Below are 24,738 nucleotides of genomic sequence, written 5' to 3'. Positions count from 1 at the left end.
TTTTATTGACCCTTGGCCTTCAGAAAACTAGAAAGGTATCCTAACCTCTACTGATGGTAGTGCTAAACAATCAGGCCGATGGCACAAAGAACCTCTCCCAAGAGCAAATCAACCAAAACCTCTCTTCAGAACTAGACCTGTTTTTGAAAAATATCAACAAACATGATTTGGTCTGTGGTACTGGAAACGTGGACAGGGTGCCTCCAAATAAAAAAATGAAAACATAAATACAGAGTAAGATCCTGTATCTCTTTATTTGCCAAATACGTTGCTGGAGACACAAAGGAGAAAGCAAATGTTACTAGAAAGTGAGATTTTTCTCAGAATAGCCACAATAAATGCCTTTTCAAAAAAAATTAAGACAAAAAAGAAGACAACCTTCATCTCTGAAATCAAAGAAAAGCCAGTTTGGGTCTAAGATGTTGAAAAAATGGCTCATGAGCAGTTTGTCTGGGTAAAAATATGACCCCAGTGATGTTACCAAGGTCTCCGAGACCCAGGGTGCTGCTGAGTAAATGCTGGTTGCATAAGTTAGAGCAGCTAAGAGGACACTTTAATTTATGTGCTCAATTTTTCTGAGGTCTCAAAAAAGAAAATAAATGAAGGTTGGGGAAAGGGATAAATGAGGTTAATTTTCAGGGTGGCACATTCAGGGATGCTTTGGAGATTAAGGGTTTTTCCATTACCTCAGTATCCTCATCTGAGGGAAAAGTGATTTTGTAGGAAGAAGCATCTCACTGGAAGTCTTAATTCACCCTCCCCAAAAGGCCTCAGGGTCTTTAAACAGCAACTGAGTCTCTCAAATTCATTTTTCAAATGAGGATTATGTAAGAAAGATTTCAAAATCATAATCAGTAAGAGTATGCTTTGTATCAGGGTGATGAAATAGTCTGTATACAAAACCCCCATGACACGAAATTTACCTATATAACAAACCTGCACATGTACCCTTGAACCTAAAATAAAGGTTTAAAATAATAATAATAATAATAATAATAATAACAGGTACTCTTTCATTTCACCATGGACCTACAAGTTAAAATACTAGGACACTGTGAATTAAATGGAATAATAAATATAAGAGGCTCAAATTTCATGTGAAATATTGTCAAATATAAAATGACATATAAATTCATATGCATAAAATGTATTTTTCCATTTGCTGGGTATTCCTTCTTGGAGTATAAGACATAAGATTTTTTTTTTTAAATCTATGTCAGATAAAACTTAAGCATTGTATTCCTTTCACAAACAAACTTATTCTGAAAACTAAGAATCATAACTAAAAACTTGAAACTTCCCCTTCCTCTTATTTTTAAATGGCATATGTCTTATAGAGTCACTGGTAAAGCAAAGAAAAAAACATCCTGCCTTAAAAGTTAAATTTTGTATTTAGTATTATGTAGAATAAATGTAAATGGCATCATTCATGACAATTAATTATAATTAAATCATTCTTTCCATACTTTGCAGGTCTTTACATAGTATTTCTGATTCCTGAGATTGAAGGTGCTACCCAATGGAAGCATATTCTAAAAGACTATTTTCGGTAGCTTATTTCTGAGTTGTTTGGGGACTGTTACAATTAAATAAACAAACACAAAATGGTTTGGCTAAGAACTCTAATCATTCCTGCTGCACAAAAGTCTAGAGATGATTAAAAGAAGACTCAGGGATAAGGATGGTAATGTGAACCAAAGTGCTACATCTGGGCCCTACATAAAAAGACCCTTCATCACAGACAGAGAGACAGCCTGTACTCCTTGCAAATGAGCTGTATCCTGTAGGCAAAGGCTCCACCTGTTCTCAGCACGCCTCTCCTCTCCCGCACGCCTCATATTCTTTGGGCGGCATTTTTCCAGTTTGGGCAAATAAATTTAGATCTCTGTACAACTGTACTTGTGACTTATGTTATTACAAATATACTCAATTAGCTCTTTGTTTAAAAAAAAATGTTTATTTGAATGCAAAAGGCTGCCAGGACCTGTGGCGGACAGTGTGAACTTGGCCTTCTGCCACGGGTCACTGGTGATTTCAACTTATTTCCTCTCATCTTCTTTTAATAAATTAAAACCCTTGAAGTTCAAATTAAATTAAGTTTAAATTAAAAGCTAGGGAGCAATGTTATCTTTTAGAGTGGAGAAAAAAAAAAAGCACCAAGTAGCAATTCAGTGGCAAATGTGTTTCAACTTAATGGAAGGTTAATATTCCTTAATTTCTCCAGCTTCCTGGCCCTTTAATAACTGGGAATCCCATTCAGCTATTTTCCCCCGTAGGTTAGAAACCTGATTCGCAGGAAGAAGTGAAGTTTTACCCTAAGTAAAATGCAGAATCTGCCAGTTACTTTTGTCTTTGTCGCTGCCAGTTCCCCTGTGGGATACACCAAAAGAAGAGTCCTTCATAGACTTCCCCAGAATATTTTTATAAATCCCATTTTTTTCACTCGCCTTCTCCTCCAAACAGAAAACGCCAGTGCCTTCCCTCTGTAATGTTTCCCTAAATGACATACAGCATATCTCAGTGGCAATGTGACATGATGAAGAAAAACTCATAAAAGATCCTTCAGCAACTCCAGAACTTTTATTCTGGAGGGGAAACTGCATTTGTAATTTGTCCTTTTAAACAGGGATCTTCTTGCCCCTGCAGAGTGAGAGCTTGAGATATCAACACAAAATCGGAACTCTTCTAGCTTTGCAAATAATAAAAAATCTTACATTCACTTTCCAACCAGAGCAAACTTTAAAAAAAACTTTAAAAAATATAATTATTTAAAAATATTAAAAATATATATACACACATATATAATACATATGTGTGTGTCTGTGCATATAAACACACATTAGAGAATCCTTCTCTCTACCTTCCAATCAGAAAGACCTGAAGATGGATAGATGGATGAACAGACAGAATATAGAAAATATTTTAAAATATTCTATTTTTAATAACTATTTTTAAAAGAGTTTCCTTACTTTTGATTCATTAAAAATAGCAAAATAAACAGAGAACTCGGCATCCCCTCACAACCAAATGGCTATGAATGTGGCTGCCAAAATAACAGGGCGCCAAACTTGAAAGCAGCATTTGCAAACTGCCTCTCCTATTGTGCATTCACCACATCACCTCAATTATGATCATAAACAACCTATTTGTAATGCAATCTACTCTTGACCTGAAAAGCTGAGCCAACCCGCATTTGAAGCTCAAGATTCACACCCAGCAGTGTCCACTTTAAATAGAAAAATCGCATTGATTGCCTGAAACTCAGGACTCATTTTGGTCCATCGATTCCCCTAGTGACCTTCTGCAGCATCAAAGCCCAGAGCGAACCCAATCTGACCCCGACTTTATGTGCATTATTATATCAAGAGACAGGAGCTACTTACAGTCCATGCCATTGTCTCCATAGATATGTAATAAAGTATTCTAGAACTGCTCCTGCCGAGAACACTTCAGGTGCACGTCATTTTCTTCTCTATCTGCCTCCCCCCTCTCTCCTACTCTTGCATGCAAACACATACACACTCTCCTCCTACCAGTATAAAAATTCTTCCTTTACTGAACGTTTCTTCCTTCCCAGTTCAGAAGAACTCAAAAAGCAACTTCAGACTTTGACTAATACTCACGTAACTCCCAGTAAACAACATCCCTCACCCAAATCCATAACTAATCATAATGCTCTTTATGAAGCTCTTCTGTGAAACAATAGGTCTAACACAAAGCTCCTCTCCACACAGTTTTAATTATAATAAATCACCTTCATTATGATGCATACTTCAATATAACATGTCGGCTGCTTAGCTACCTAGGTTACTCCCATAATGAGAGCAGGGCAGACGTGTACGGCTTGAAGAAAGTTATTTACGCACACTGAAAAATTCTACGGCATCCCATGGCTTTGCAGCACGATTTTCAGCAACTTTTATCTTACCTTACTGTTCATAACATTACAGCTGAGAAGACAGGGAAGAAAAGAGTAAGAAAAAGCACCACATCTGAAAAATGCTGTTTACACAAATAACAGTACCCTGAATACATCCACTAGCGCGGAAAAATAAGTCCTTGCAGTACAATCATTTCTCTATAAATGTATGAAAGATTGTTACTGCCTGGTGCAACAAATCAGCGATGAGACACTAGGCTGTGGTGTGTAAGTTTCAAGGGACTGCACGTCAAAGTCAACTTCCCGGGCAGTCCCCTGAGAACTGCGCTGGGCACATTCTCATGAAAGGTGTGAAAATCTGATTTTCTAAAATGGATCAGTAATTCTCTATGAAGGGGGAAAGGATCGATAAATCTTTGCTAAGTAGATTGTAAAGGAAAAATTATTCTTTCAGTGACAGTACATTAGGATCCTCCAAACAATCTCAATAAACTAAAGACATAGCGTTTCTCCACCAGCTACTTTTGACTTCTGATATATTTTTGTAATCTCAGATCATTCGGCAATGCACATACATTTATATTTGCTAAGCAATGTTCCGTGTTGATGTTGATTTATGGTATGTGCCATTATAATGTTTGGCTGTGACTAGCAAAAGAAAATTATTAGTCGCTTGTAACCTGATAGATGTGATACAAGGAAATGTCATTATAGCCCAACGCACATATATGTTCCTAACTATATCAGTTCGCCGGGTAGCCACAAGATGTGTTGTTGGCATTCCTCAGCCTAATATATATGTGTTGTTTTTAGGCAACTGATCATTGATGTATAGTGTATATTCTCTTGATGCCTAAAAACACCTGGGGTGTGATATGCTTTGAATCGTGTGACGTTAATAGTCCTTGAAGGAAAGTTTCTTTTTGCTCCTGGGCAGAGACCAAGGAAATCTTTAGACACCGGTTTTATCACATACACTCGATGACACTGAACGGGAGTAACTACCAGCCCTGGCCACTAACACATTCGCCATTTGTTTCACAGCTAGGGAGTCCATACTCCTCACCACGCTGAGGCCTGAGAATCCTCGCTAAAGAATTTAGACAGAAGATGTGTGTCACGAGAAAACAAGCCTAGGAGTGGACCGACTGCTCCCAGGAGGCTCTCTGGTTATAGCATCCTGAGCTGTGTGTGGCTGAGATTTCCCCTGCTCTGTGTTAAAGTGGTTATTAAAAAATATGGCCTGTGTGGTAGCGAGGTATTTCAGGGGCCTCAGAGCATGCTGAACATCATGTGTCCTGCAATACGCAGATCAAACAAAGCAAATTCTCAGCATGGCAGGCTGAAATCTGCATTTCTCTCTACTTATGCAGGTTTATGTCAGAATTAACAATAGGATAGCTCCTTTGGTTAGAAAAAGCTCTTCCACAGGATGCGCTACTTTCATGTACAACATCCTTGGGCAAAAAAGGGAAACAAGATAACTGGCATGGCAAATTGTAGCAAACAGGTGTGATCAATGTGTGCAAACCTCATTCAACTGAATGTCTACATATATAGGAATTATATCCACTAGTATCTTATCAGGGATGGCGGCTGCATGCCAACAATTTTATAAAATGCCTCCTTTCCCTCTTTTTAATTGAATAATGCTAATAATGGACTCATTCAGGTACAAAAGAGAGTGGGCTGTAATTTCTTTTGGCATGAAGAAGGACTCACTGTGGTTATAGTCCCTCCCACCATTTGGTTTTTGTGATGTTTTCTGACCAGAAAATGTTAAGAATCCTAAGAAATAAGGTCAAATTTCTACAAAAAGTCCAACATCCAATGCCCACTGGTAAACAAAATGCAACAGGAAAGTCTATGTCGTATCAAATGAAATAAGACCTCTGGGTATCTGTAAACATTTTGGAGAAAGGTGCCATCCTTTAAGCATCCAAAGGAGACCATTGATCTAGAAATAATGAGTAGCATCCTTCCTGATTCACAAGTCGGATTCAGTGGGACGCAACTATTGACATACAAAAATTCAAATTTCTCCAAGTCAGAGCTTGTAAATCTCATGGAGTTCTGAGTCTTACCCATTATAAGGCACGTGCAATTTTTTTTTTTTGAGGCAGTCTCCCTCTGTTGCCCAGGCTGGAGTACAGTGGCATGATCTCAGCTCACTGCAGCCTCCACCTCCCGGGTTCATGATATCCTCCCACCTCAGCCTCCCAAGTAGCTGGGACTACAGATGTGCACCACCATGCCTGGCAAATTTTTTTATTTTTATTAGAGACGGGGTTTTGCCATGTTGACCAGGCTGCTCTCGAACTCCTTGTCAAATAATATGCCCACTTTGGCCTCCCAAAGTGCTGGGATTACAGGTGTGAGCCACTGTGCCCGGCTGGCAAGTGCAATGCTAAGAAAGCTAAATGATAGGAGGGAATTAAGTCAGCCACATTTCAAAAGAGAAATGAAGGCTGGTGGGTAAATAAAATACTGATGGATAGAAATATAGAGTAGGTGTTTTGTTACATATTCACATTCACATGGAACCTTAAAATGAAATGTATTCACTGACATTGTTTTAATTTGGATTCTAAATTTGAAAAGCATTAGTATCAAAAATTTATTTTTCTGATCCTAATAATTGTCCTGTACTAAACTTCCAACAAAATGGCTTACAGATCATTTTCCTAAAATCAATATAACAGTATATTAATGAGCTAAACATCCATCTTTACAGTTAGTATAAAAACAACAGAATGAACTAAAATACAGTAGGAAAGAGCTAATAAAAATAAAGTTGGCCAGGCGCGGTGGCTCACGCCTGTAATCCCAGCACTTTGGGAGGCCGAGGAGGGCGGATCACGAGGTCAGGATTTCGAGACCAGCCTGGCCAAGATGGTGAAACCCCGTTTCTACTAAAAATACAAAAATTAGCCAGACGCGGTGGTGGGCACCTGTAATCCCAGCTACTCATGAGGCTGAGGCAGGAGAATCGCTTGAACCCGGGAGGAGGAGGTTGCGGTGAGCCGAGATCACACCACTGCCCTCCAGCCCGGTGACAGAGCGGGACTCTGTCTCAAAAACTAAATAAATAAATAAATATTTTAAAAACAATAAAGTTTAGTTCAATTTTTTTTTGGGGGGGGCAGGAGGATATGAAGCAACAGTGCTCTCATGTATTGGTGGGAATGCAACATGGTACAGTCCCTTTGGGAAGACAGTTTGACATTTCTTTAAAAATTAAGCATAATCTTCTCATATGATCCAGCAGTCACACTCCTTGGCATTTCCCCCAAAGAGTTGAAAATGTATGTCCACACAACCAGCACAAAAACTAATGTTTATTGCAGCTTTATTCATAATTGCAAGAACTTGGAAGTATCAAATTGTCCTTCAGTAGGTGAATGGCTAAACTGTTACACATCCGGGCAATGGAATATATGTATGTGTGTGTATATATATATATATATATATATATATATATATATATATATATAGTATTTTTTGAAAGTTCAATACAGGAGATTAGCAAAAATTGTTCCTTTGAAAAAGCTAATAAATAATCAGATCTCAGGCAAGAGTGATCTAGACAAAAAGAGAGGATGCCCAAGTAAACTATATTAAAAACTGAAATGGAAATATAACTACAAATATAACAGATACTGAAAAGATAAAAGAATTCAATGAAAAATGTTTGCTACTGAGTGCAAAATATTGATCAAAATGGGCAATTTCCTAGAAAATAAAACTTTTCCAAAAAACACAGAAAGGGATAGAATGCATGAACATCTTTCTTCATTATTATATACATTTAATTCATGATTTTAGGACTTCACATACAAACACACACACCACACATTGACTCAGATAATTCTACAAGTGAAACTTTCAAAAAGTAATTTTAATTTTTAAAAAGCCTTTTAAAGAATAAAGAAGAAATACTTCCCCTAAGCTATGAAGACAGTAAAACCTTCATATCAAACCAGACTAGGACATAGGACAAAAGATACTTCTAGGCTAATGTCATTCATGAGCAAAGATGCAAAAGGTCCTATTAGCAAGCAGAATCTAGTAGTGTATATAAAAATGATAATGCATCATGACCAAGTCACTTTTAACCCAGAAATACAAGAGTGGCTTAATATTTTCAAATCTATAAATGCCATTTAATATATTAAATTTAAAGATGAACAATTATGTGATCATTTTAATGTATACAGAAAAAGCATTTGATAATAATTTCATGACAATTATAAAATATAAGATAAAATTTTCAACAAACTAGGAATAGAATATCCTTACCATTTTAAAGGAATTCTATAACGAACTTACATAAAACATAATTGTTCTTTCTTTTTATTTGTATACATTTTATAGGATACAAGTATAATTTTGTTACACGGGTAGAATGCATGGTGTTGTGAAGTCAGGGCTTTTAGGGTATCCATCACCCAAATAACAGGTATTGGATCCACTATATAATTTCTCATCATCCACCCCCCCCTCCCAGAAATGTTATTTTTGATAATGAAAAATGACAAGTACCTTTAAAATGAGGAACAAGTCAAATATGCTTAACCTCACTATCACTATTTTTATTAAATATTGGATTCAATATCTAAGTCACTGTAATAGGAAACAAAAGTAAAAGTACCAACAGTAGGAAAGAAAAATAAAAAATGTTATTTTTCAGATCACATAATTATCTTCATAGAAAAACCAAAAGAATATAAAACAAAATACTAGAAAGTTTGGCAAGATGGCTGGTATATGATCAATATATAAAAATCAATTCTATGTACTAGCAATGATAATTTTAAAAACTATTTTAATAATAATATGAAAAGTTGAAAAATTTGTGTTAAAAAGAAAATCTAGCCAGTTGCAGTGGCTCATACCTATAATCCCAGCACTTTGGGGAGCAGAGGCAGGCAGACCCTTTGAGCCCAGGAGTTCCAGAACAGCCTGGGCAACATAGTGAGACTCTACACATTTATTTATTAATAGCCAGGCCTGGTGGCTTGTGCCTATAGTCCCAGCTATAGGTATAGTGCCTATATCCCTACTCAGGAGGCTGAGGTGGGAGGATTGCTTGAGCCTGGGAGTTGAGGCTGCAATGAATTGTGATTGTGCCAGTACACTACAGCCTGGGTGGCAGAGTAAGACCCTGTTTCAAAAAAAAGAAAAAAATTTACAATATTCCAAGTTACATAGGAATAAGCCTGAAAAATATCTGTACAAAGAGAACTATACAAATTTTCTATGTATATGTATAAACTATTTTGGAAAGATATTAAAGAAAACCTGTAAAAATGAGAAGATATATCATGATTATGGATTAGAACGCTTAATAGCATACAGGTGTTAATTCTTCCCAAATTTATTAAAAAGATATAAAGGTACATCTAATATATATCAACAAATATAAGTAAATAAATAATTTTTAAAAGTTATAAGGACATTCAAAACAAAATTTCAACTAGATTTTTAGGTTACTTGTCCTACCAGATATCAGGACCTTTATGAGGCAGTAGTAATTAAGACAGCAAAGCAATATTTTTAAATGTTTAAAAAATATAAAAGAGTATGTCTTTTAAATGTTGAAATGGGTTAAGATTTCATAAGCAAGATAGTAAGAGAAACAAACATGAAATAGTTTTAAAATTAACTTCATCTGCATCAAAATTAAAAAATGTCCGCCCAGCAACAGACACCATAAAGAAAGTAAAAACATAAAGCATGAGTAGGGAGAATATTTTTAGAATGAACATAACTGACAAAAGACTGGTGTTCAGAATATATAATGAATATGTAATATGCAAAAACAATAGAAAATATGACATGAACAGGCTTTTCACAGAGATAAAATAGGAATGTCAAATAAATATATGAAAAAAATGATTAACCTCAATAATTAGGGAAATCCCATTAGAGAACTATGAGATACAATTTTACATTACTTAGTTTTGGAAAAATTAATAATTGGGTTATACCAAGTCTTGGAAAGTATATGGATCAATGGAGATTCCTAAATATTGCATTGTAGGAATATAAATTGGTATATGCATCTGAAATAAAAATTGGCATTTTCTTTTAAATTTGAGTATACTTGTACCCCAGGTAGAAAAGAATGTCATGGAATGCAAAAACAAATTTAAAAAAATCCAGAATGTACAAAGCAATGGAGGTATAATATAATAATGCACCTGCAGAATATTTCAGAGAACTGCACATTTTTCTAGATGGAGCACGAGGTGTATGTTTATGGGGGAAGAGAAGGAGATTTGATTAGCAACATTGGCAAACTGCCAACTCACAGTGGGTTGTTTTTGCAATGTTACGAAGTTTATACATTGTCCCACATGCCAAAATATTTCAAGAATTCTTAATCACGGAACTCCTTGAAATTGAAAGTCAAAAATATAAAACGACAGAAAAGCAGAGCTGCTCTGATTGGAATTGGAGGACCTTGGACCAAAAGGGAACAGCCCTTCCTCCCTTTCCATGGAGATCCCTGAGGACATACCACAGTGCTCCTAATGCTTGGACACAGGTTTTTAAAAGCCCTTGTGGGCAATAGGGTTTTGAGCACTGCAGTGCCACAACCTAATTTGCATTATAGAAGCACCGCATAACATCAGTGTGATTGGATGATGGCATAAGCCTAGTGAGTGTTTTTAAAGAACACCTGCTTGATGTACAGTAATGGTGAGGGTTTCCAGAAGGATATCCAGTTGCAATATCAAAGGTACCCAATGTATTTGAAAGAAGCTTCAAAGGTCTCAAGCATACAAATATATTTCCTATTACTCATTCAGATTGCTCAAAACACCCTGGGAGTACACTATAATCTTCATAAGTAGTTTACTTATATTGTTTTCTGGGCTGTCAGGAAAAATTGCTTATGTCTTTTACTAATCCTAAGCAAAACCTACTTGATACCACTTTCAATCATCAGAAAGTTGGACGGTCAAATAGAAAACAAAAATAAAAATAGAGGGAAAACCAGTCAATTGCCTAAATTCATCCCTGAGTATCAGAGGAGACACTTGACTTCTGTTATGTAGTTTGGCAATTTCTAAAGAGGAGATGAAAATATCCATCTTCTTACTGCCCTGCATTCCAACCTAGGTTACTCCATCATCATAGTACAAATGGAGCCTATCTTTTCTGGGACTATCAATATTTTTACATTAAAAGTAAAATTAAGTAATTTAAGTGATAATGCAAAGGTTTTTTTAAAAATTATTACACTTTAAGTTTTAGGGTACATGTGCACAATGTGCAGGTTAGTTACATATGTATACATGTGCCATGCTGGTGTGCTGCACCCATTAACTCGTCATTTAGCATTAGGTATATCTCCTAATGCTATCCCTCCCCACTCCTCCCACCCCACAACAGTCCCCAGAGTGTGTTGTTCCCCTTCCTGTGTCCATGTGTTCTCATTGTTCAATTCCCATCTATGACTGAGAACATGCGGTGTTTGGTTTTTTGTCCTTGCCATAGTTTACTGAGAATGATGATTTCCAATTTCATCCATGTCCCTACAAAGGACATGAACTCATCATTTTTTATGGCTGCATAGGATTCCATGGTGTATATGTGCCACATTTTCTTAATCCAGTCTATCATTGTTAGACATTTGGGTTGGTTCCAAGTCTTTGCTATTGTGAATAGTGCCGCAATAAACATACGTGTGCATGTGTCTTTATAGCAGCATGATTTATAGTCCTTTGGGTATATACCCAGTAATGGGATGGCTGGGTCAAATGGTATTTCTAGTTCTAGATCCCTGAGGAATCGCCACACTGACTTCCACAATGGTTGAACTAGTTTACAGTCCCACCAACAGTGTAAAAGTGTTCCTATTTCTCCACATCCTCTCCGGCACCTGTTGTTTCCTGACTTTTTAATGATTGCCATTCTAACTGGCATGAGATGGTATCTCATTGTGGTTTCGATTTGCATTTCTCTGATGGCCAGTGATGATGAGCATTGTTTCATGTGTCTTTTGGCTGCATAAATATCTTCTTTTGAGAAGTGTCTGTTCATATCCTTTGGCCACTGTTTGATGGGGTTGTTTGTTTTTTTCTTGTAAATTTGTTTGAGTTCATTGTAGATTCTGGATATTTGCCCTTTGTCAGATGAGTAGGTTGCGAAAATTTTCTCCCATTTTGTAGGTTGCCTGTTCACTCTGATGGTAGTTTCTTTTGCTGTGCAGAAGCTCTTTAGTTTAATTAGATCCGATTTGTCAATTTTGGCTTTTGTTGCCATTGCTTTTGGTGTTTTAGACATGAAGTCCTTGCCCATGCCTATGTCCTGAATGGTAATGCCTAGGTTTTCTTTTAGGGTTTTTATGGTTTTAGGTCTAACATTTAAGTCTTTAATCCATCTTGAACTAATTTTTGTATAAGGTGTAAGGAAGGGATCCAGTTTCAGCTTTCTACATATGGCTAGCCAGTTTTCCCAGCACCATTTATTAAATAGGGAATCCTTTCCCCATTGCCTGTTTTTCTCAGGTTTGTCAAAGAACAGATAGTTGTAGATATGCGGCTTTATTTCTGAGGGCTCTGTTCTGTTCCATTGATCTATATCTCTGTTTTGGTACCAGTACCATGCTGTTTTGGTTACTATAGCCTTGTAGTGTAGTCTGAAGTCAGGTAGCGTGATGCCTCCAGCTTTGTCCTTTTGGCTTAGGATTGATGCAAATAAACTAGAAAATCTAGAAGAAATGGATAAATTCCCTGACACATACACTCTCCCAAGACTAAACCAGGAAGAAGTTGAATCTCTGAATAGACCAATAACAGGATCTGAAATTGCAGCAATAATCAATAGCTTACCAACCAAAAACAGTCCAGGACCAGATGGATTCACAGCCAAATTCTACCAGAGGTACAAGGAGGAACTGGTACCATTCCTTCTGAAACTATTCCAATCAATAGAAAAAGAGGGAATCCTCCCTAACTCATTTTATGAGGCCAGCATCATCCTGATACCAAAGCTGGACAGAGACACAACCAAAAAAGAGAATTTTAGACTAATATCCTTGATAAACATTGATGCAAAAATCCTCAATAAAATACTGGCAAAACGAATCCAGCAGCACATCAAAAAGCTTATCCACCATGATCAAGTGGGCTTCATCCCTGGGATGCAAGGCTGGTTCAATATATGCAAATCAATAAATGTAATCCAGCATATAAACAGAACCAAAGACAAAAACCACATGATTATCTCAATAGATGCAGAAAATGCCTTTGACAAAATTCAACATCATTGGTGCTAAAAACTCTCAATAAATTAGGTATTGATGGGATGTATATCAAAATAATAAGAGCTGTCTATGACAAACCCACAGCCAATATCATACTGAATGGGCAAAAACTGGAAGCATTCCCTTTGAAAACTGGCACAAGACAGGGATGCCCTCTCTCACCACTCCTATTCGACATAGAGTTGGAAGTTCTGGCCAGGGCAATTAGGCAGGAGAAGGAAATAAAGGGTATTCAATTAGGAAAAGAGGAAGTCAAATTGTCCCTGTTTGCAGACGACATGATTGTATATCTAGAAAACCCCATCGTCTCAGCCCAAAATCTCCTTAAGCTGATAAGCAACTTCAGCAAAGTCTCAGCATACAAAATCAATGTACAAAAATCACAAGCATTCTTACACACCAATAACAGACAAACAGAGAGCCAAATCATGAGTGAACTCCCATTCACAATTGCTTCAAAGAGAATAAAATACTTAGGAATCCAACTTACAAGGGACGTGAAGGACCTCTTCAAGGAGAACTACAAACCACTGCTCAATGAAATAAAAGAGGATACAAACAAATGGAGGAACATTCCATGCTCATGGGTAGGAAGAATCAATATCGTGGAAATGGCCATACTGCCCAAGGTAATTTATAGATTCAATGCCATCCCCATCAAGCTACCAATGACTTTCTTCACAGAATTGGAAAAAATGACTTTAAAGTTCATATGGAACCAAAAAAGAGCCCACATCTCCAAGTCAATCCTAAGCAAAGGTTTTATATTAAAATAAACTCAAAAGAAGTTTTAGTGTTAGTAAACTATCACACTGACCTAAACAGGAATCCTGGCTCTTTCACCAACCATTGGGCCTTTTTCCTTTCTGGCTTCAGTTTCTCCATTTGTAAAGTGCAGAGAATGCCTACTTCTCAGGCTTAAGTGGAATAATATAGAAAATATATAAAATGGAACCTGTATCATAGTTACGTGTTCAATAAGCAGTAGCTATAATGTGACATAGGAGGACATTAGATTTTACAAATGTATAAATTAGATGGAAATGCTTTTCTGATAAGAACACTTCAACAAGAAAAATGGAAAATGTATTTGGACTTTTGTGTATCACTCTAAACCAAGATTTCTCAACCATGACTCTGTTGACATTTGGGGCTGGATAATTCTACATTGTAGGGAGACTGTCCTGTACATTATAGGATGCTTAGATGTATTCTTGGCCTCTACCTGCTAGGTCCTAGTCTTCTCTCTCCAAGTTGTGGCAAACAAAAATGTCTCTAGACGTTGCGACATTGCCACATGTTCACTGAGGGAATGGGGAAGCATCTTAGCCAAGATACTGAAAGCACAAACAACAAAAGAAAAATATAGCATATGAATGTTATCAAAATTAAAATTTCTTCTTTTAAAAGCCTTTGTGTAGAAAATGGAAAGGCAAGCTAAAGACTGGCAAACAATATCCACAATACATATATCCAATAAAGGCTAGTATACATATTTTTAAATTCCTGCAAAACAATTATTTTTAAAAAACTAATCTTAAAACTAGGCAAAAAACTTGAATAATACTTTTAAAACACAGATATACAAAGTATCAATGAATATATGAAAAAGTGGTCAACATCATTAGTCATCAAGGAAATGCAACATAAAGCCACAATGAAATACCACTACCCACCTACGAGAATGATTAAAGGTAAAAAGACTGACCATACTAAGTGCTGGTGAAGATATGGAGCAAGTAGACTCTCATACACTACTGTTGAGTGTGTAAAATGGTACAACTGCTTGGAAAACTGACAGTTTCTTATAATGTCAGACGTATACCTACTCTACCACTTAGCAACTCTGCTCTTGGTATTTACCCCAAAGAAATGAAACCATATGTCCATGCAAAAGAATGTTCATAGCAGCCTATTCATAATAGCTCAGAACTGGAAATAACTCAAATGTACAAGAGATGAATGGATGTACATGGTGGCTTATCTCTCCAGCAAAAAAGAAAAAAGATGGAAAAAGCGGGGGAAAGTCCCAATACATGTGAAAACAATGAATATCACAGATGTTACACTGAGTGAAGAATGAAGACATAAAAGAATATATATTGCATGATTCCACTTACAAGAAGCTTTAGAACAGGAAAATATAAATTATGATGACAAAATTTAAAAAGTCATTGCCTCTGAGGCACTAGGGAGCTTTCTGTGCCCATAGGAGTGTCCCATGTCTTGGCTAGAGTAGCTGTTACCCAGGTGCATACAAGTGTCAAAACTGATTGAAGCGCACATCTGTGTGTTTTATTGCAGAAAATGATGGGTGGGGGATAATCAGGTTGAGCAATCAGAATTAATAACACCTACAGATAAAAGTAAATATAGGAAACTGAAGAAAATTAAATAAGCATACATATATATATGTTTCATTTTAGTGAATTTTGAGAAGGCATTTTATCCAAAAAAAGAGATGCCAAGTATGAAAAATGAACAATTGACAAATAAGAAATAAGACAAACTAGTTAACTAGGCCAGAGAGAAGAATGCAGAAAGTAACAAATAGTGAATATCATAAAAGAAAAGAGAAGAAGAAGGAAAGCATTAATCAGAGATATAATAAAAGATATTTTCCCTGAGCCAAAGAAAGTCACAAGTCTCTGTATCCTAAAGTCTTCCTAAGAGCCAGATAAGATTATTTCTTAAGGCCTGTCCCTTGACATATCCTGACAAATTTCTGGATTCCAAGAATAAAGATAAAATTCTAAATATGTGTAGTAAAAAAGAAGGAAAATATTATCTTCAAAGAAAAATGCTAAAACTGTGGGCTAGCAGAATTAGATTTTAGGAACCAATACAAAAGACAAGAGTTTCTAAACAAACATTAAGGAATGAAGTACAAATTCTAGAAATCTTAAGCAAGATGAACTAATTCCCTGGAATTTTATTCCCATGTAAATCATCATTTTTTTATACATTTTAAAATGAAAGGATTGAATTAATATGATATCTATGTGCCTTTTGTAAAAATTATTTAAGAAAGATGTGAATCAACATAACTATAATGGAATAGAGGGAATTTGTAGTAAACATTTTGGGAAAAAAATAGTAAAATGAATATTAAGCTCAAGAAATTGTTAACAATATGGTTTTATAACTTAGATCAATTACAAAGAAAGAATTCTTGAAAGAAAAAATAGATAATTTTATTTTTTAATACATTATGGAACTAACATTTCAGATACTTTCAATAAAATATGGCAAATGGGGTGGAGTACATAAATACTAAATGCTTATCTTAGTCTGGGGTTATGGAGTAAGGCTATAAATAGAGTTTCGATCTTGCCATTAGAAAAAAAATTGGCCAAGTATGTTTGCTACAAAAATTAATATTATCTGCTAGTAGGAAAGAAATAACATGCAAAACTTTCAAAGCAGTAAGAATAAAAACTGATCATTCCAAAGAAAGATAGCAAAGGAAAGAAAATAACCACATAACATAAATTGAAATAGATAAGGTTTTAATCATTCCACATTGTAAGCATATACCAAACATTACAGTGTACCCCATAAATATATAATATTTATTCATCAATTAAAATATAACTTTTAATGGTAAAAATAAAACCAAGAGCAAGCAAATCATTTAACATAATTAACAGAAGGAATTACATTTCTCCATTAAAAGACAATGGATCCAAAATTGAGTTAAGAGAAGAAAAACAAAACCCAGCCAGAGACTGTTTAAAAGAACATTTTAAAAAAAATGATAAGGAAAAATTGAAAATGCTGGAAGATACAATAGGCAAATGGAAACAGAAGGAAAGCAGGTGGCAATATTACTATCAAAGTATAGCTTAAGCAAAATGCATTAAATGGGATATTTCATTTTTATAAAAGGTACATTCTGCCAAACAGATGTCAAAAACTCTGTACATTAAAAAAAAAAAATCTAACCTAGAAATACATTAGGCAAAGAACTTTTAGAAATACGATGAGAAATTGGCAGAAACTGCAATCTTAAGAGCAATAACACCTCTTTCAGAGTGTGACAGATCAAGTAGATAAAAAATAGACAGTAGCTGAATAACACAATTAAGGAGTTTGATTTATTGAGGAGAAAGAGTAAAAGAGGAAACATTGTATCTTACAGATGTAAAATTCATATTCTTTTCAAATTTCCACATAAAGTAATGAAAAGGACTCATGGATGAGACTGCAATGCAATGACCATCTCAAAAAATCCCCCAAAGAAGAAATACCATTTAGCCCATACTTTGTCCTCAATGCTGTAATTCTGGAAATAAATACTTCTGCATGAACTTTGGAAAGGAAAGAAATCACATCAGTGGTGGACTGAGAACACAATATGAATGATACAATTATTGTATAACAATATCTTGAAGTAGATATTTGAGTATCTTTAGTAGATAAAAATGATTTATCCCTTCCTGGACCATTCTAAATAGCTCATCATGCAGCATTATAAAGAGATGACATTATTTTATCAGGGCCTGCCTGAGGAAATCTTTGATCCTTGTCAACACTTTCTCACTACAAAGGCACTGGCTTCTAGAATGAAGGATAAGACCCCAGATTGGGAGCTAGCTTTTTTGGGGGGTCTGGGAGGGTGCACCCAACCTGCTCACTTGCTCCTGGTTCCACACTTCCTAGAATGAAGCCTGACATATGCAAGCTGCGAAGGAAATCCATGATGGCTGCATTTAATAATTATCTTACTTCTTCATTCATGCATATAAATGGACAACCAACAGTTACCAGATTCTGAGAAAAATTGTAACAAAACCCCAAAAGAATCAAAAGGAATACATTGATTCTCTGATGCTGGAGAAAACAGAAATAATTCAGGGAAGAGAATGGAATCATAAAATAATTTTAATTGGTGATGTGAAGAAGATTTGACAAAATATTTTATCCACAAAACAAGAACAGGTTGCAGTGATAAAAGGAGCAAAGGTTTTTGAAAATTCAAAATGTAATTGTTGACATTTGAAAGATTGATGAAACACTACATGGAAAAGTCAAGGAAACGTTCCAGAATCTTAAAAAAAAAAAAAAAGAAAAAAGAAAGAAAATGCAAAAGATTTCAGCACAATCAATCCAGGAAGGCCAACATCTGTCTCCTAGTAGCTCTAGAAAGAGGTAGCTAAGAAAAGGAATGTGAGCAATTTATCAAAGGAGTAGTGAATGAAATTTCCCAAAGCTTAAACAAGCCTACAAATGGAATACTGTAAGTCTTCATTTTGAAAGATTCCATATGGCGTTGAGCAGAAAAAAATGGAGGAAAAAAAATCTAAGAACATTCTTATAAAATTTCGGAACACAAGGATTCTAAAGAAGGTCCTAAAAGCTTCCAAAGAGATTACAATGTTTATCTTCAAAGGAAGAAGGACCAAATTGGTTTCAGACATTTCATAAGTGATGTTGGATGCCAGAAAACATCAGAGCAGTGCCTTCAAAAGTTCTGAGTGAGAATTATTTTGAACTTAAAATTCTAGCTATCAATCAAGAGTAGAGACAAAATAAAGTCATTTTCAGGCATGTGGGGACTCATAAAATTTACCATCTACAGATTTTTTCTTAAAGAATTACTTGAGGATGCCACCAAATAACAACAATAACAAAAATGGGATGTAGGAATGAGGAAAATATAAGGTTTAAGAAACCATGGACCAAATAAGGCTACAAAATGAAAGGAAATTCCAAGAAGTTGGTCATGCAATCGTCCTGGAAAACCAAGGCTGCAATACAAGAAGGAGGCAGGGAAATCAGAAGGAGTGTTTCCAAGAAGCAAATGAATTCTAGGTAGTAAGTTTCTAGGTAAAAGAACTGAACCTTCTTCATGAAAAGGGTAAACTATATTAAAATATGTAAAGTGAAAAATGCTCTGCTCCATTCCTCCCACTTTCAACTTTTACTCGTTGTATTTCTACTTTTAGTGGCACTGTTTTCATGATACAAGGTTATATGTCTTAACCTATGAGTTATTCTATTTTGTTTTATAGTGATTATTGGAAACATTGGATTTTTAAAATTTTTAGATTCAATTTACAGATACATATGGAAAATTTAATTATACAGGCTCACAATCCCCTATGTGATTCCACTGGAGCAAGACATAAATGAGAACTCAGAATTTTATAAATTTTACAATGATAATGCAGTACTTAGATTACATATTAACTAACACTCCCAGCACATTCTAGACTATTAAGCTGATTAATATTTCTGCACCAAAAAAAAAAAATGTAAATGGTTTACTTCATGTCAGTTCAGGTGAGGTTTTGTCACCAAATAAGTTCAGGTCATGGCTTCCGGCACAACCAATCTTCACACCTGACACAGTAACTAGAGGGTGGGCTTGTATGCTCTGCAAACCAATCAGAATCATTCCCTACTTCCTACTTCATGGAGAGAGCATTTCTGAGAATGATTGTATACAAAGGAAAATAATGGTGAGAGATGGAGACAGAGAGACATGGCCCTGATAGAAGTTTTGAACATCAAAAATCACCTCTGCCTGCAGACAGTTCTATCCCTAGATTTCTGTGAGCCATTACCATTGATCGATCTGGCTTTCTGTCATTTGCAACTAAAAGAGTTCAGACAAATTCTATATTTAACACAAATCCCAAGGACTTTTCAATAGGCTAGGAAGAAAACAAAGATACCTGCTATCACCGTAAGTTTGCTACATTTGACTTGAGGATGTTAGCCAATACAGCAAGGCCGGAAAAAGAAATGAGGTATAACTAATAGGAAAAGAATACAAATTAACATTATTTGGAGATAATATGATGAAAATGCAGAAGAATCAATAAATTAAGAAAACTAATAGGATAATTCTGAAAAAAATCCACTCAAATCACACACACACACACACACACACACACACGCATGCACAATCTGGGAATGAGCTTAATAAACATTTTGGAATGTTTTATATAAAGGAGTCATGCAAATAATTGGGTTAGAAAACAAAATTCAAAGCCTCTGAGATGACAGCATGCTTGGAATGTTTGAGGAACTGCAGGAACGCCCGGTATGGCTACCCCAGGGTGGATAAGGGGGCTTGTAGTAGATGAGGTAGGAGAGGCAGAGAGGTGGGGAAGTTCACTTAGAAGCAGCTCTACGGAGTGACTCCTACTCTGGGTGATATGGGGACCTCCTGATGCTTTCCAGCCAGGGATACAGTAATCTGCTTTAGGTTATCATAAGACGGCTGCTGGGTTGACAATAGGTCATGGGCAAACAAAGGAGAACAGTTAGAAGAATATTGTGATAATACACATAACAATAACAGCGACTAAAGATGGTGATTTAGCAGTAGAATTAGATTTAGCAGTACAAAGTAAACAGATCCCAGATAGATTACATAAATCACTAACAAATCTACATAACATGTTCACACGCAGCCCAGTGCACATATTTTGCTCATTGTTAGGTAAAACTGTATTTACTAATAGCTAAAGAAAAGTCAAGAAGAATAAGTAAATGATATAAAATCATTGACATAATATGTATTTATTGAGTACAGCATCCACCTATTAGGCACTAAGCTAGGCCATGGGATAGGGAAGAGGACACAGTTCTTGCCCCAAGGAACTCATAGTTACATAAGGGAGAAAAAACAACATGATAAAATAGAAGTTGTAAAACCTTATACATACAGGAGCATCTGAGGGCAACACCTCCAGCCTTCCCCTCCCAAAGGCATTTATGACATTCACGGGTTCCCTAGAGCTCCTTGGATCAAACCAAATTTTCGGCAAGGTCTCCACAGTCTGGCTTACTGCCACATTTACACTCCTCTTGCTCTCTGTGCTCTGCCACAGTGGCTGTCGGCCTTCTTCAAGTCCCTTAAACTGGACGTGCCACATTCCTTTCAGCTGCAGGGACTATGCATGCGCTGTTCCATCTGCAGAGAGCACGCTTAACGCCGTCTTGACCTACACAACTCCAGCTCCTCCTTCAATCTCACCTCCCTGATATACTCACTGATGATTTCCCTGATAGGGTCAAAGTCTCGTGTGATGAGCTTTCATACCATTCATCTCCCCATGGTAACACTTACTACTGTTTCATATTTATGTAAATATAAATATTTGACTTTGGTTAGCTAGAGTCTTTTCTACTGAACTGTAAGCGGGGGGGGAGCTATATTGTTTTTAACCTTTTAAAATGCTCCAGTGCTTATATGATTTTACAGCTTTTATTTTACCATCTTGTTTTTTCTCTCTAATGGGACTATGAGCTTTTTGGAGCAGAAACTGTGTCTTCCTTTCTGTCCCATGTCCTAGTTTAGTGATCAAACACATGGATGCTGTACTTAATAAATACATATTAAACCAATGAATTGGAATTACTATATCATATCCCAAATTACTAGAACCCTACTTGGCTCACAGTGGAAATTCAATAAATAGTTGTTATTATATAGTATATACTGTATTTTCTATATAGATAATCAGTATATATTGCATTATATATAGGTAATCTTATATACATCTATATATAATATAGATATAATGTATCTATACATAATATTATATCTATATATAATATAGATATAATGTATAATATAGATATAATATATAATATAGATATATAATGTATAATATAGATATAATATATATCTATATATTATATATAATATATATAATATATAATATATATCTATATATAATATATATAATATATAATATATATCTATATATTATATATATCTATATATAATATATATCAATATACAATATATAATATATATCTATATATTATATATATCTATATATAATATATAATATATATCTATATATAATATATAATATATATCTATATATAATATATTATATATATCTATATATAATATATTATATATCTATATATAATATATACCTATATAATATATATCTATATATAATATACCATATATAATATATATAATATATCTATATATAATATATAATATATATCTATATGTTATATATCTCTATATAACATAGATATATATAATATATAGATATATAACATAGATATAATATATCTATATATAATATATATCTATATATAACATAGATATATCTATAATGTAGATCTATATAAAACATAGATATATCTATATAAAACATAGATATATCTATAATGTAGATCTATATAAAACATAGATATATCTATATAAAACATAGATATATTATATATATAATAATATATAATATATCTATATAAAACATAGATATAATATATCTATATATAATAATATATATTAGATTATATATTATATATAATAGATATTATATCTAATTTACATATAATATATATCTATTATATATTATACATAATATATTATATAATATATATCTATTATTATATATTATAATATATATTATATCTATTATTATATATAGATATTTATAGATATATCTCTATATAATAGATACCATATCTCTAGATATAATATAGATATATATAATACAGATATATAATATATACATAAAATCAGACCTACACATACCATTAATAGCCATCTTTTTTTAAAAGAGGAAATAAATTCTAAGAATAAGAAATTGTTAGGCATTGATATATTTTTAAAATTCTGCTCCCGAACAAAACAGAATATTCTAACAGAGTTACTGACATAATTTTTTTAAATCCATAAGCAAGATGATAAATATTCTCAGTGGTCATCTGAATGGAGACCACGAGGAGGAAGACGATCATTTATGGTGTACCATCCTTCTGCCCAAAGGCTCTTGTCTCCAACTAATAGAGGAGTCAACAGCAGTAGCAAGAAGGAAGGCACAGCTTCATGGAAACGGTTCCACTTTTGCCAAAAGGAAACTAAGAAGTAGGAGGCGCCATCATTTATTACACCAAGGATGTATTTGTATAGTCAACTGTGAAAAAGAGCTCTCCAGCATTTGTGAGAGAATGATCTGCAGGACCTTTGACATTAGGAGGAAGTCTGGTGGGGAGAAAACAGGAAAAAAAAAATCTTGCAATTTTCTTTCCAGGTCTAAGCTGTCTAAGCTATAGCAACATGTGGAGGTGACAAAAGAAAAAAGATAAATTGACAAAGAATGAAAAAAAATTCAGCTTTTTCTGAATCCATAAGATTCCACACATATTTCACAAGGATTTATCAGGTGAATTAAGACTTGCCTTGCACATAGACGTTCTTAAAACTAACTCAACAATGTTGTCTTTGTATTACCCAAGGCGTAGGAGAAAGATTTAACATTAAAAATTGCTAAACAACATCTAACATGTTATCATTTCTGTAAAATTAATTTTATCCCCTTCTTTTTCAGTATGTTCACCTTCATTTTTATAGTTATAGCATCTGCTCTCCTGAAAACATGCTTTTCCAGTTAGCTGGAAGAGACCTTCATTCACCTGCCATTTCCACACCCTGTCTGAAACAATCTCCTGTGGGAAATGTTCATTTAAAGCTGCTTTCCTACACTGCCAGCATTGGGTTATGCCTCTCTGAAGGTTCTGCTGCTAAACATTGGCTTTTAAGTAACTACTCAAAGACACTCCCAAGAGATGTACAGTTCATTGTTTCATAATGAGTCGCTTCTCCTAGCCAGAAAAGATATTTCCGCCACATCCATATTTGATTTTCTGGAAAATCTATAGTAGGCTAAGCTTCACACATGAGCCAGTAAAAGCTTATTATAAGCCTATGGTTTTTCTTTTTGCAACTCATGAGGACTCTCTCATTCCTCTGAAGGGAAAAAATCTGGAAACAAAGTAACCTGACAAGCTGAGTACATAAATTAAGTGCATAAATTCTTTACGAATAGGGCTCTTGCTAGTATATTTAAAGTAAAATAGTGTTTCTACAGCACACCCAAGGAGTTCATTTTTAAAATGAATGAAATGATGTTGGAAAGATGACATATTACAACTATTTCCTCCACTCATTGACTTACAGCAGCTCCACTCCCTTGGTGTTTATAGACAAATGCCGTTAATAGAAAGGAAGGGACCATGTTTAACATAAATGCTGCCTTCTTTATGCTATGGAACACTGCAAAATATCATTATCATGCCGGAATCAATTGATTATATTATCTCCAGCATTCTAAAAGTCTAAAACTCTACAGAACAAGACATTCTGAATAGTCACCCCATTTTTAAAAAGTACCTATCTAGGGAGGAGCCAAGATGGCCGCATAGGAACAGCTCCAGTCCACAGCTCCCAGCGTGAGCGACGCAGAAGACGGGTGATTTCTGCATTTCCATCTGAGGTACCGGGTTCTTCTCACTAGGGAGTTCCAGACAGTGGGCGCAGGTCAGTGGGTGCGCGCACCGTGCGCGAGCCGAAGCAGGGCGAGGCATTGCCTCACTTGGGAAGCGCAAGGGGTCAGGGAGTTCCCTTTCCGAGTCAAAGAAAGGGGTGACAGACGCACCTGGAAAATCGGGTCACTCCCACCCGAATATTGCGCTTTTCGGACTGGCTTAAAAAACGTGGCACCACAAGATTATATCCCGCACCTGGCTCGGAGGGTCCTACGCCCACAGAGTCTCCCTGATTGCTAGCACAGCAGTCTGAGATCAAACTGCAAGG

At 35.2% G+C, this 24,738-nt stretch overlaps 1 protein-coding gene and 1 long non-coding RNA gene across 5 annotated transcripts in view, besides 1 other annotated feature; one reads left to right on the top strand and one right to left on the bottom strand.

Moving 5' to 3' along the window:
* POU6F2 (POU class 6 homeobox 2) overlaps window positions 1–24,738 on the bottom strand; it is a 490,693-nt gene that overhangs the window by 430,727 nt on the left and 35,228 nt on the right. The window lies entirely within an intron of this gene.
* Window positions 20,239–20,439: a silencer, noted in NCBI's record as "peak6496 fragment used in MPRA reporter construct". NCBI's record gives its function as "represses an SCP1 promoter by STARR-seq MPRAs in K562 erythroleukemia cells {active_cell/tissue: K562}" and the evidence as "EXISTENCE:reporter gene assay evidence [ECO:0000049][PMID:32103011]".
* The window catches only part of POU6F2-AS2 (POU6F2 antisense RNA 2), a 33,673-nt gene continuing 33,242 nt past the window's right edge, over window positions 24,308–24,738 (top strand). Inside the window, exon 1 of the long non-coding RNA NR_138047.1 lies at window positions 24,308–24,462. This is a non-coding gene — a long non-coding RNA (POU6F2 antisense RNA 2). The remainder of the gene's footprint in view (window positions 24,463–24,738) is intronic.

The sequence above is a fragment of the Homo sapiens genome, chromosome 7, assembly GCF_000001405.40.
Source record: "Homo sapiens chromosome 7, GRCh38.p14 Primary Assembly".
Classification (NCBI taxonomy): Eukaryota; Metazoa; Chordata; class Mammalia; order Primates; family Hominidae; genus Homo; species Homo sapiens.
Note: the sequence above shows the minus strand (reverse complement) of the source record. Positions and strands in the feature narration are given on the sequence as shown.